Source organism: Homo sapiens, chromosome 6, assembly GCF_000001405.40.
Source record: "Homo sapiens chromosome 6, GRCh38.p14 Primary Assembly".
Classification (NCBI taxonomy): domain Eukaryota; kingdom Metazoa; phylum Chordata; class Mammalia; order Primates; family Hominidae; genus Homo; species Homo sapiens.
In genome coordinates this window covers 150918310-150932375 of record NC_000006.12, presented here as the reverse complement: position 1 = coordinate 150932375, position 14066 = coordinate 150918310, and the positions used below count along the sequence as shown (strand labels likewise).

The window sequence follows — 14066 nt, the reverse complement described above, 5'->3', positions numbered from 1 at the left end:
AGAGCATTGATTATATGATTATTCTAGAATTTTTCAGATGGCTTCATGATAAGCATTCTGACATGCCTGTCTCGCCTACCAGGCCACACACTTGTTGAGGTAAAGGACAATGCTCACCCTCTTTGCACCGCTATCACATCACCTGTTCAGGGCACAGAACAGCAAAAAAGGGTTGACAATGGAATGATGCTTTTTTTTTTTTTTTTTTTTTTTTGAGATGGAGTCTCACTCTGTTGCCCAGGCTGGACTGCAATGGTGTGATCTCTGCTCATTGCAACCTCCACCTCCCGGGCTCAAGCAATTCTCTTGCCTCACCCTCTTGAGTAGCTGGGATTACAGGCACCCATCACCATGCCCAGCTAATTTTTGTATTTTTAATAGAAACAGGGTTTCACCATGTTGGCCAGGCTGGTCTCGAACTCCTGACCTCAAATGATCCGCCCGCCTCGGCCTCCCAAAGGGCTGGCATTACAGGCGTGAGCCACCATGCCCTGCCAGAATGATGTCTTTTTAAAGATGAGTATTACTTATTGGCAGTTACAGTAAAAACTGTCAAAGTACCTGTGACCATTTGGACACAATCTGAAAAGAAGTTTATAATTTACTCAAAGGTCAAAAAGATGGCTTATCCAGAGAGAAGTGGTAAAACTTTGAACTATTCTAAAGACCCAGAATCTTGTTGAATAGCACCACTGCCATTAGCCATGGGCCTCACCATGCACTCCAAAACTACATGCTCAAGTAGCATATGAACATAAATCATCCATCCCAGGCATCTTTAGGGTCTAGGGGCTTTTTAAGCCTTTTATTATCTAACAATAAACCCCATGGTGCATTTGGTTATGTTTCTCATTACACTTGACTTAGGTAAACGGTTCAAAGGCCCTGTGGGAAGTGGTTTCTTCTAAATACCTCTGTTTTGTTCTAGAAGTAGCACAAATAAAAGAAAATCACACAGATATTTAAATAGTTACTCAAGGCAGAAAAGCCAAATCATAGAAAAGTCAGATTATTTTAACATTGTACCGAAATAAAGGGTTGAAACATTTTTAAAAAATCCAATCGGGTATTTGGCCCTCTGCAGAAAAAAAAAAAAAAAAAAAAAAAGATGAAATGATGTGAATGATTCAAATTTTTCTTTAATGTGAAATTCAGTCTATTCCCAGATCAGTTTGGGCTGCTTTTTTAGCTGCTCTGTCCAACCAATTCAGGGAAATTCTAGAAACTTCTGCACAGAAATGGGTGCAGGCCTGATGGAGACTGAGATTCAAATGCCCTGCAGCTGCACTCCAAGTCAAGTTCTCAAACAAAATTCCTTTTCATTAGTGTAACTGGGAAAATATGTAAAACTCATGAGTCCCTAAGATTCTTTTGGCATATTTCCCTGAACAATTCCCAATACTTTTCATTTTGTCAGGCAAAGCAAATAAAGTGATGTGTAGGTGTAAATACCATGCGATATGTAGTTGATGAAATGCAGATGATTCTGACTGAATAAGAAATCCTAAAGTTTGAAGAATGGCTTTTTAAAAGAATTAATCTGTTCTGCATTTGAGTTATTAATAATAGAAGATTTAAAAAAATCTCATTGTTTTATATTTTAATCCCATTGCTGATATATTTAAATCACATTTCTATATAAATTAAAATATGTAATAACAAATATATTGTTATTTAGTATTATTTAAAAATTACTTGGGTATTTGAATTCTTCTAAAGCATGGAAAAAGATTTATGTTACAGTGTTCAGAGAAAAAGGCAGGACAAAAATGATATTTATAGCATGATCTCAATGTGTAAAAAGATGAATATATAAATAAAATATTGAGTTATGAGAGACCTAGTTATCTCCTTTTTACTTTATGTTAAATTTTTTACAATAAGCTAATATTATTTTCAGAATTAGAAAAGACTTTTAGAAAAAGGAAATAATTCTCCATTTAATGGAGGGGTCATTTATATTTTTAAAGAAGTTGCAACAGTGCATATAATGGTTTGATAACAGTCATTTCCCCCTAACGCTTGACCTGGTCAAATGTAAAAATATGAAGATGATTTTTATTTCAAATTGACTTTTCACTTTAGATTACAAATGTTGCTTTAAACCAGTGCTGCTTTTTGCTGTTTGTTTGTATTTTTTAAAGATGGGGTCTTGCTATGCAGCTCAGGCTGGTCTTGAACTCCTGGCCTCAAGTGATCCACCCACAGTCTCCAGAGTAATTGGGTTATAGGCACAACCCGTCATGCCAGGCCCACTTTAGGCTATCGATAAAATAGTTGCCTGTGATCTAAACTGATATCAATATTCAGCTATTAAGGGATTAGATACTGATGACAGTTTACAGCCCTAAAAAATATATCATTTGTTGTGTTGGGGAGAAGGGGCTGTTCATTCTTCCCTTATAGAATCCAGTGTGGCTATTTCCTAAAAATCTTCAAGCTGTGCCACAAATGCATACATATATCATAATCTTACCAGCACGGTTATTTTTTTCCACTACAGTTAAAAAAGAGACAGGCCATTTAATTTTTGTTCCTTCAAAGGTCTTTGTTAGGTAAAGAAACTTAGAATTTCAGAAAAAGAATTGTTGATCCCTTGGTGTTTAATCTGTTCTTGAAAATTCATCTTTAGTCTTCTTTTCTATTTACAACATGGCAGGCCAATTTCAGCTTGATTATACATATTAATGCTAGCAAAAAGCCAGCGTGGAGAAATGTTCTACTGGCCATGGACTGCATTGGCTGTAACCCCAGGCAGTCGTGCTAGCTAGCATTCTCCAGCATGAGGCTGGAGGCCCAGCTTTGTTTACAAGTAAGGAACCTGAAAACAGTATCATCACAGCTTTGTTTTAGAAGTATCAGTTTTGTGTTCCAAGCTAAGGTCAGAGCCATCCATATCTGGATTTCTGATTTTATTGACAAGCCCAAAATGGAGTAAAGCACAAGGACTGGATAAGAAAATCTGCTGCAGGATTCTTCCTTCATAAACAGACAACACATCCTACCAAGTTTTCCTTAAGTGTTCCTATCTGAACAGGGTGAGAAAGCCTGCAAACCCACCTACCAAGATCATCTGAAGCCTGGAAGAAAGGAACCAATTTCACAAATCAAATGCTTTTTCAAGGTCTTAATGGCCAAGAGTTTGTTTATTAATTGCAGACAAATATGCATCAAGCATACTGCCATAAAACAACCCTGACTAAACTGTGCCCTAAACTCAGAGACCCCGGAGCCAATCTAACCAGAGGCAGCTCCTTGCAGGGTGTGGGCCCAGAGGGTGCCTGCAGGTGGAGCCAACCCCTCCCCTCAGCCAGGAACTTTCCCACACTCGATTATGGGGACATTAAGTTTGGGGTTCTAGGTTGGAAAGGGGCTCAGGAATCTAACTGCAGTGAGCCTGGAAGCCTGCGGGAGAAGGGTGAAGCCACAGGCAACCAAGGTGTGGAGCAAAGGATGAATTCCTTACAATGCCAACTGCTGAGGGATTCAGAGAGGCCCTGGCTGTCTGTCCCTCTTACAAAAAAGCTACAGAAGCTGGGCATGATGGCTCACACCTGTAATCCTAGCACTTTGGAAGGAGGAGGCGGGCGGACCACTTGAGGCCAGGAGTTCAAGGCCAGCCTGGCTAATGTGGCGAAACCCCGTCTCTATAAAAATACAAAAACAGTTAGCCAGGCGTGGGGGTGCATGCCTGGAATCCCAGCTACTTGGGAAGCTGAGGCACAAGAATTGCTTGAACCCAGGGGGCAGAGGTTGCAGCGAGCCAAAATCGCACCAGTGCACTCCAGCCTGGGTGACTTCATCTCAAAAAAAAAAAAGAAAAGCTACACAAAGAGAAGGAGAAAGAGGAGGACAGGAAAGTGGGACAGGAGGAGGGAAAAAGGATTTGAAGAAATCACTATATCATTAAAGAGGTGATTTTTTTTTTTTTTTTTTTTTTTTGAGACAGTCTTGCTCTGTCACCTAGGCTGGAGTGCAGTGGCGTGATCTTGGCTCACCGCAAGCTCCGCCTCCCAGGTTCACGCCATTCTCCTGCCTCAGCCTCCTGAGTAGCTGGGACTACAGGTGCCTGCCACCACGCCTGGCTAATTTTTTGGTATTTTTAGTAGAGACGGGGTTTCACCATGTTAGCCAGGATGGTCTCGATCTCCTGACCTTGTGATCCACCTGCCTCGGCCTCCCAAAGAGCTGGGATTACAGGTGTGAGCCACCGCGCTTGGCCTGTTTTGGATAATATTTTTGCTTTATTTGTGGTTATAAATAATTGAACTCACTTCCGGGGATTTTTCCTAAGGAGATAATTAAACAGATGCACAAATCCACATGCCCAAGGTTGTTAATTCTAGCAGTTTAAAATGGCAAAAATTGGGAACACTTTGATTGCCCATCAATAGAAAATTGGTCAAGTAAGTTGTGGAACATCCCTATTCTATGTTCAAATTATTTTTCTGCATCAGTGCACTTGGACAATTAGAAACACTCAGAACTACCAGGGTAGCACTTATTGATGGAACTAGAGGTGCCAGAAGATGTGTAAGATGGGATCTCCACCCTCATCCTGGGCATTTTGCTACTCCCCCAGCCCCTGCTTCCCCAACATGTTTAAGAATCTGGGATGTGGCCAGGTGCGGTGGCTCACACCTGTAATCCCAGCACTTTGGGATGCCAAGGTGGGTGGATCACTTGAGGTCAGGAGTTCGAGAAAAGCCTGGCCAACATGGTGAAACCCCATCTCGACTAAAAATACAAAAATTAGCTGGGCATGGTGGCGCATGCCTGTAATCCCAGCTACTCGGGAGGCTGAGGCAGGAGAATCGCTTGAACCCGGGAGGCAGAGTTTGCAGTGAGCTGAGATCACACCACTGCACCCCAGTCTTGGCAACAGAGCAAGACTCTGTCTCAAAAAAAAAAAAAAAAAAAGAATCTGGGATGTGAGTGATGGAATGTTATGTTGTCATGAAAAATGGTGACATAGCTCAATATTCACTCACATGGAGCTCAGTATGCCACATATGCTTGAATAATCAGGTTGCTTACACAATAGCATGTGAGTGTGACCTCATGGCTGAGAGACTCTATCAGCGTCAAAACAGTCCTCGCAGGTCAACAGTTGTTTCCTCTGAGTGCTTGGGTTTGGGATGTTTTACTTTTTCACTTCTGTTTTCTGAATTTTTAGAATATTTCTACAATGAAACTACATTCTTTTTATAACCAGAAAAAGAAATAAAGAAAAAAGCACTTACATTAATAATTAAATACGTAAAAACAAAGTTACCTAGGAGTCAATTCCAATTACAAGAAATGTCTCTGCCTGACAAATAGGTTTTGTGCCTGAAGCTTTGTATACATCATAAGCAATAGTCACTGAAATGAAATTTCAAGGCAGCAAAGGAATTTATATGGTCTCATGATGTTCCCTCAGGTCACACTGAATAAATATTTGAAATCCCTTGCTTTCTATCATCTTTTCAGCTAGTGAATGTACTTCTTTTTTTAAAAAGAAGGGGAAAAAGGCAAACACTCCTTTTCACAAAAACTATGAATTTGTCTTTTATAAAATAACCAACACAAATGAAAATGGCCCAACATTAGTTTTGAAATGCAGAAAAAGGGAAATAATGAGCTTTTGAAATGTGAATATGTAGGTAAGATCAAGGATATTAACAGGAAAACATGTTTCATATGATTATCTGTACCTTTTCCACGAAAATATTTCAAGTAGAACGCACAAAACAAACTGCTCAGTTCAAAATAGTTTACTTTCAATTCCTATTTTGATTTTTATAATGAAAAATGAAATTCAAAAAGTCAAGGAGGAGCAGGGGTAATAACAACATAATATGAGAAACAAAAGATAAAGCACTGCAACTTGTTTGACTTTATCTTGTGTAGAGTCGACTAGTTTGCTCTGCACTGAAAATAAAAACTTATCTCACACCAAATAAAGAAATGCCAAATGAAATGGACGAAATGTCAAATGTGAGAATAGGATGGATTGAGGGGTACGAGGAGAGAGATAAATAGGGAAGAGTTTTGTAAATATGTCTGCTTGATCAAGTAGATGTTAGATGGTGTCTTACCCAGCAACTAAGACGTATTTTCCATCTGCTTGATCCTTTAACCTTTCTAGCACGGACAAACGTACTTTGGCTTTGCTTTTGCCATAGATTTCAATTTCATCTGCAAGCAATCCAATCTCCTTGGCAAGGACATCCACAGCTTTTGGAGTTTGTCCTCTTGAAATCTCAATGTCACTGAGGGGAAAGACAATACGAAAGAGAGAAAAGGCTTCTCAGCTTAGGTGGTCACAACTGGAGTGAAAACAGCCACACATCACGCCAACGATGAAATCAATGCAATTACTTTGGGGTCCTTTCTCCCAGGCAGTAATAAGCACAACTGCTAATAATTAACGTGTATGAGAAAATGGTGTATCATTTTAGAAATGCAACTCCAAAAAACTCACAAAGATCCTAGAATTGTGTCCAGGTGGAAGTATAACACCTATGGCATAGAGACAAGAACAGCATATTATAATGTGTCCAAAACCCTCCTGCAAGTGTGATTCGACTACAGAGCAAAATGCTCTGTATGGGCCATCATGGTATTCATTAGCGATGAATAGAGGGTCATTGCATAATAATCTCCGATCGGGCTGGCCACATGTTTCTCTTGGCTATTCAAAAATGTGAACATTACTATCACATTAGAGATTAAGTACAAAAAAAAAGAAAAAATGTGGAAATGCTATTTCGTTTTATCTGTGTCCACACTTCCCCCTCTCTATTTACAGTCTAAAATCATATTTCAAAATGTTTTATTAATTACATAACTGTCGGTAAAAGGACCTAGTGCCCTGAGCCCAAGTTCAGACAGGAAATTGTAGGAACTCCAGAGAGTCATTGGGCACGTAACTGAACTCTTCTATTTTACTGGCCACCACTGCTCGTCTTACAGGAGTGGTCTGGATACCAGCATGTGTAATGCTGGACTCTTTCCTCTGGGGCTCATGTGCTCAGTCATTTCTTTGCTGGGCAGTCAGGCCCTTCATGTGTCTGAGAGTGAGAGATGGAAGGCACACCTGTTCCCCCAGCAGCAAGACTAACCCCGGGAGACCACGCGGCGGGGGACTACCCTTAAAGGTTGCATCAGAGAGGACAGCTATTCCTTCACTCACCCCAGAACACTTATTTTTGTTGTGGTCTGCCTCCTTGCGGTGGGCAGATCAACCCCCTCAGTGGACTTTAGTCAGCCCCTTGGCCCTGACTGTTTCTGTAGCTACTGCAGGTAATCTACCCTCAGTGTTCAGACCACCCTAGACTCTCCTCCAGGATCCTGTAGGGGCCTGACCCGGGGGTAAGAGGCAACAGCAAACACACCTCCACCCAGACTTCTCCAAAGGGCACCAGAGAAACTAGGAGTTCAGGTTACCCCCCTCAAGTACCGCTGAGTATTCCTTTCCAGGCCTCCACCTATCCGACCTTTCCTTTCTAGCCTCCTACTTTGTTTTGCCTTCCTGGCCATAGTTTTTTTCTGTCTCTCTCTTCCCACAATCTCCTAAATTGAAGAGCTTAATCTTGAACAATGTGTAAGCTTTTGGCAGGCTGCAGAGGCTCACGCCTGTAATCCCAGCACTTTGGGAGGCCAAGGCGGGAGGATCACTTGAGTCCATGAGTTTGAGACCAGCCTGGCCAACATAGCAAAATCCCGTCTCTACTAAAAATACAAACAAATTAGCCAGGTGTGGTGGTGGCACCTGTAGTCCCAGCTACTCGGGAGGCCGAGGCAGGACAATCACTTGAACCTGGGAGGCGGAGGTTGAGGTGAGCTGAGATTGCACCACTGCACTCCAGCCTGGGCAACAGAATAAGACTGTCTCAAAAAACAAACAAGCAAACAAAACAGGCCTGGCATGGTGGCTCATGCCTGTAAGCCCAGCACTTTGGGAGCACAGGAGGGCAGATCACTTGAGGTCAGGAGTTCAAGACCAGCCTGGCAAACATGGTGAAACCCTGTCTCTACTAAAAATACAAAAATTAGCCAGATGTCCTCGCTTGAACTCAGGAAGTGAAGGTTACAATGAGCAGAGATGAAGCCACTGCACTCCAGCCTGGGCAACAGAGCAAGGCTCTGTCTCAAAAACAAAACAAAACAAACACCTGTAAGGTTTTCTCTTTACTAGCTAGTCACAGAGACATCATCCGATTTTTGGGGTGATTTATAAACTACTCAGCCTGCTTCTCTTTGCCCAGTGGGTCTAGAAATCAATGATTTCAAAGTAAATTCTTCTTGGGGGAGAAAAGGATTTAATTATTTAACAAGAAGAATTTACTTTGAAACTTTGGTACACAATTTGGTGGAATCTATCTTAATCTTTTTTAGCACTTTGTAAGTAGAAATTATTGATTTACTTTTAAAATCTAAGGTCTTATAACAACAAAAATAACTCTAAAATAAGATATTTTATGAAACAGATTGCACAAGCCCAGGGATGATATTACAAAGAATAACATTCCTCATTGCAACTTATATAATTAATGAACAGAGAGCATAACTGAGATGTTTCGTCTATTGCAGGGATGAAAACATGTCCAGGAGGGTCACACCCTCCTAGTGGGTAGAACTGAACCAGGGTGTTCATCTGACTGTCCAAGGAAATGGAGTTCAATTCTATAAAGCAACTGGTTATCAGGTAAAAAATGAGTCAGCCCCGGTGCGGTGGCTCATGCTTGTAATCCCAGCACTTTGGTAGGCCGAGGCAGGTGGAACACCTGAGGTCAAGAGTTCAAGACCAGAGCAAGACTCTGTCTCAAAAAAAAAAAAAAAAAAAAGAAAAAATAAATAAATAAATAAATAAATAAATAAAGTGTCAGTTACTAGAGGGATTTTATCTCCTCGGCACTGTGTGCATTCCAACGTTGCTGGATGAGATTACCTGGGGATGCACACCTAGTATTATGCACACCTGGATAATGGGGGTGGGGCCAATTCCTTGGAGTGGGACAGACACAGATGACTCATCATCAGGCTGGAAAATGCAGCTGTCTGATTCAGACATCATCCCTACCCAATCATTCTAAACCACAAGCTGAGACTATGACCTACAGTTTATATTTCCAAATTTATAGATAGAATATGTAGCTCAGACCTCATCAGAGAGCACTCTGAGGAAAATATCCACCTTGACGAGCACAGACTATTCTATCAGATCGTTCTGAAGAAAGCTGAGCTCAGTTCCCACGTGGAATAATGTTTGGTTTGGACGGTCCTTTATCCCCAGAGTAGAAACCTATATGGCCCTTAACACCAGGCGGATATATACGTGTTGGGCATTTCTGACATTGAAAAGCATATTCCAAATATTACATTACCATATTTTGTCAAATTTAAAACCATTACTTCATGGACCACTAAGAAGAAAAACCACTGCCAGGCCAGGCGTGGTCGCTCACGCCTGTAATCCCAGCACTTTGGGAGGCCAAGGTGGGCAGATCACCTGAGGTCAGGAGTTTGAGACCGGCTGGCCAAAATGGTGAAACCCCCATCTCTACTAAAAATACAAAAATTAGCTGGGTGTGGTGGCGTGCACCTGTAATCTCAGCTACCCGGGAGGCTGAGGCAGGAGAATCGCTTGAACCTGGGAGGTAGAGGTTGCAGTGAGCCGAGATCGCACCATTGCACTCTAGCCTGGGCAACAGAGCAAGACTCCATCTCAAAAAAAAAAAAAAGGGTGGGGGGGGAAAACACTGCCATTAAATATAGGAAACATCATTGAAATTAAATTAATATAAATTAATTTTAAAACATCATTAAAAAACTGCCATTTAATATAGAAAACATCATTGAAATAAAAAAATATGCCTTCTTAGAATTGACAGAACACAGTAATACATTCATTATGATTTAATTTTGGAGAATTTACAATAGAGAAAATAGGGTGGCAATTTAATGAATAGAGAAACTTATCTACCATCAAAACCACAGTACCATGAGTTGTGCTTCTCCCCCATGACTAACTAGGGCTAAGGCACTGTGCTGAGCTGACATCAGTGTAAATAAAACACCAGTGTTACCTTGGCACAGGGGAGAGAGGCTGAAGTTTCAAGCAGTGAAGTCTCCACCGCCTGTGCTGCTGTTCACGAAGCCATCTCCTTCCACTACTGACCATGTTCTTCAGCAGGGATAGAGGGGAAAACATGTTAGAATGGTAAAAGCTGACAGGGCACACACTTAAACCATGGAAATATTGTTTGTGGATGTTACAAAACAAGATTATCGAGTCGCACAATAAGCCAGGAGGATATTAGGAATATTTTTATTCACGTGTAACTAGGTTTGTAGGTTTTTCTTAAAAAGGAAAACGTGAAAACCACTAGTTAGATATACAACTATTCAATATCGCACTGAAGAGTTTGATAGTATTAAAAGAAGCTGCTCTGTTTCTTAAATATGCATGCATGAACTTGATGATCCAGCTTAATTCTATAGTTCCCTTGCAGACTATTAGCTCTTCATACTTACAGCAATGAATCTGAGAATGTTTTTAAAAATGTACATCCAGGGTTATTTCAAGTCACAGGCCAGAACTTCTGACTATGTTCATTGTTTTTGTTAAATTTTAAAAAGAAAAACAGGAAAATGTGAGAAAATACACTATTAAAAAATCCAGGTGTGGTGATGCGCACCTATAATCCCAGCTACTCGGGAGGCTGAGGTGGGAGGATTGTTTGAGCCCAGAAGTTTGAGGCTGCAGTGAGTCAAGATCACACCACTGTACTTCATCCTAGCTGAGATTCTGTCTCTTTAAAAATAAATGAATAAATAGGCCAGGTGAGGTGGCTCATGCCTGTAATCCCAGCACTTTGGGAGGCCGAGGTGGGCAGATCACTTGAGGTCAGGAATTCAAGACCAGCCTGGGCAACATGGTGAAACCCTGTCTCTACTAAAAATACAAAAATTAGGCCAGGTGCAGTGGCTCACGCCTGTAATCCTCTTTGGGAGGCTGAGGTAGGCGGGATCAACTGAGGTCGGGAGTTCGAGACCAGCCTGACCAACATGGAGAAACCCCGTCTCTACTAAAAATACAAAATTAGCTGGGTGTGGTGGCACACGCCTGTAATCCCAGCTACTCGGGAGGCTGAGGCAGGAGAATCACTTGAACCCGGGAGGTGGAGGTTGCAGTGAGCTGAGATCGTGCCATTGCACCCCAGCCTGGGCAACAAGAGCAAAACTCCATCTCAAAAAATACAAAAAATTAGCCGGGCGTGGTGGTGGCATGTGCCTGTAATCCCAACTACTCAGGAGGCTGAGGCGGGAGAATCACTTGAGCCCGGGAGATGGAGGTTGCAGTGAGCCGAGTTTGCGACATTACACTCTAGCCTGGGCAACAAGAGCTAAACTCTGTCTCAAAAAAAAAAAAAAAAAAAAAAAAAAAAATTATCTGGGTGTGGTGGCATGTGCCTGTAATCCCAGCTACCCAGGAGGCTGAGGCAGGAGAATCACTTGAACCTGGGAGGTGGAGGCTGCAGTGAGCTGAGATCGTGCCACTGCATTCCAGCCTGGGTGACACAGTGAGACCCCGTCTCAAATAAATAAATAAATAAATAAATAGATTAAGTGTTCACAAAAGACATCATGTACATGGATAAACTTATACTGAATAGGTTCGTCATCCAATTTAGAAAAGAAAAATGAAGAAAATATAGGACTGCGTGAATGATCAGCTTGGATGCCCAGCTTCCAAATACCATCCTTCCATAGTTGGTATAAAAGAGCAAGCAAATTGAACTACTGAGTAGTGTTATGTATGCATATAAATTATAAGTAAATGAAATAAAAATAAATAAAAATAAAATTTGGCTTTGATGGAAATGTAACTTATAATCCTTACAAAAATGTCTAATGACCCATTTTGAGGTAAAGAGTTTCAATTGTGTATTACCCTGTACATAAGAAAGAAATGAACTAAATGTCACTGCCAGAGGCCACCACTGCTGCAGGCTCCAGCACCATGAGAACACTCAGCTTATATGGTGGAACACTGATGACCTTCGCCTTTAGGTCACACAGGTGGTGGTGGTTTGAAAAAATGCCTCCAAATACTTTAATACTCCTGTCTTGAAGAAGTGAGGACAATTCTCCTTCTCTTGAATGTGAACTGGACTTAGTGATCTACTTCTAACAAACAGGATAAAAGGAAGTGGCGGCACATGAGGTTAGAGCCCAGGTCATCCACACTGCAGACTCCTCCTGGTTGCCTCCCTTGGATTGCTCACACTGGGGGAAGTTAGCTGCCACACTGTGAGCAGCCCTACAGAGAGGTGGACATGATGAGGAACCAAGGCATCCTGCTGATGGCCAGTGAGGAATGAAATACACATGCCCACAGCCATGTGAGTATGCCATCTTGGAAACAGATCCTCCAGCCCCAGTTAATGCCTCAGATGACTGCAGCCCCAGCTGACATCTTCACTTCAAATGCATGAGAGATCCTGAGCCTAAACAATTTGATATAGTTTGGATGTGTGTCCCTGCCCAAATCCCATCTTGAAATGTAATCCCCAGTGTTAGAGGTGGGGCCTGGTGGAGGGTGATGGGATCACAGGGGCTAGTTTCTCATGATGGTTTAGCATCATCTCCCTCGGTAGCGTCCTTGTGATAGTGAATGAGTTCTCATGAGATCTGGTCATTTAAAAGTATATAGCACCATCCCTCACTCTCTGCTCCTGTTCCCGCCTTGTGAGATGCCTGCTTTCCCTTCACTTTCTGCCATTCTTGGAAGCTTGGTGAGGCCTCTCCAGAAGCAGATGCCTGTGTTATGCTTCCTGTAAGGCCTGCAGAACTGTGAGCCAGGTCAGGCGCGGTGGCTCATGCCTGTAATCCCAGCACTTTGGGAGGCCAAGGCGGGTGGATCACATGAGGCCAGGAGTTTGAGACCAGCCTGGCCGACATGGTGAAACCCTGTCTCTACTAAAAATACAAAAAATTAGCCAGGCGTGGTGGTGTGTGCCTGCAGTCCCGGCTACTCAGGAGGCTGAGGCATGAGAATCTCTTAAACCCAGGAGGTGGAGGTTGCAGTGAGCCAAGATCGCACCACTGCACTCCAGCCTGGGTGACAAAGTGAGACTCTGTCCCAAGGGGAAAAAAAAGAACCGTGAGCCAATTAAATCTGTTTTCTTTCTAAGTTAACCAGTCTCAGGTATTTCTTTTTTTTTTTTTTCAGTCTCCCTCTGTCACCCAGGTTGGAGTTCAGTGGTGCAATCTCAGCTCACCACAACCTCTGTCTCCTGGGTTCAAGCGATCCTCCTGCTTTAGCCTCCTGAGTAGCTGGTATTTCTTTATAGCAATGCAAGAATGGACTAACATACCACCTAATCTGCTAATCTACTACCAAATCTCTGACTTGAAGAAACTGTGAGATAATAAATGCCTTGTTGCTTCAGTTGCTAAATTTTGGGATAATTTATTACACAGCACAAGATAACATACACAGTCCCCAGGATGGGTCCCTGCCCCACACTGCCATGTGATCATAGGCAACTCACTTCATTTTTCAAAATCACCATTTCTTCACTTATCAAATGGGCCTAACACTGTGTGTGAAGTGTTTAACACTGTACCTGGTAAACAGAAACCACTTGCAAAATGTTAGCAACTATTAATCAAACTTCCAAACTCAAGATTCTCAGACAGCTATGTTGAACAAACCTGAATTCGCAGAGCTGCAGCAAGGAGAATCACATCATCTTCCTCAATGAGTCCACCAAAATGTATTCTTGGAGAGCCACACCCAACCTTCCCTGTAAAAAATTGGAGGGAAAAAAAAGACTTTCAGTACACTGTCATTTCTAACCAATTGCTCCTTGTAAACAGCTAGCACACTGAATAGTGGTCTCATTTTTCACCAAGGAAGTTAGGATGTCGGGGCACGGCTGCAGACTGGTCACCTCTGGCACAGGCTTGGGGCCCTCCATTGGGCCTGCTTCACATTTTACATTAGAGAAATGGCCATCTGGCCGGGTGCAGTGGCTCACACCTGTAATCCCAGCACTTTGGGAGGCCGAGGC

At 42.2% G+C, this 14066-nt stretch overlaps 1 protein-coding gene across 32 annotated transcripts in view, besides 1 other annotated feature; it reads right to left on the bottom strand.

Moving 5' to 3' along the window:
* MTHFD1L (methylenetetrahydrofolate dehydrogenase (NADP+ dependent) 1 like) overlaps positions 1–14066 on the bottom strand; it is a 236186-nt gene that overhangs the window by 169512 nt on the left and 52608 nt on the right. For all 32 annotated transcript variants that reach the window (NR_146719.2, NR_146720.2, NM_001242767.2 and 29 more), the window contains exons 9-11: positions 13708–13799; positions 10074–10171; positions 6081–6254 (exon numbers count right to left, since the gene is read on the bottom strand). Coding sequence is in view for 30 of the 32 variants with exons in the window: in NM_001242767.2 (NP_001229696.1) it covers positions 6081–6254; positions 10074–10171; positions 13708–13799 (364 nt within the window). In the remaining 2 variants the exon portion in view is untranslated. The remainder of the gene's footprint in view (positions 1–6080; positions 6255–10073; positions 10172–13707; positions 13800–14066) is intronic.
* Positions 9377–9625: a silencer, noted in NCBI's record as "fragment chr6:151243887-151244135 (GRCh37/hg19 assembly coordinates)". NCBI's record gives its function as "represses an EF-1alpha promoter that drives an FKBP-Casp9 reporter gene in an ReSE screen in HepG2 liver carcinoma cells {active_cell/tissue: HepG2}" and the evidence as "EXISTENCE:reporter gene assay evidence [ECO:0000049][PMID:32094911]".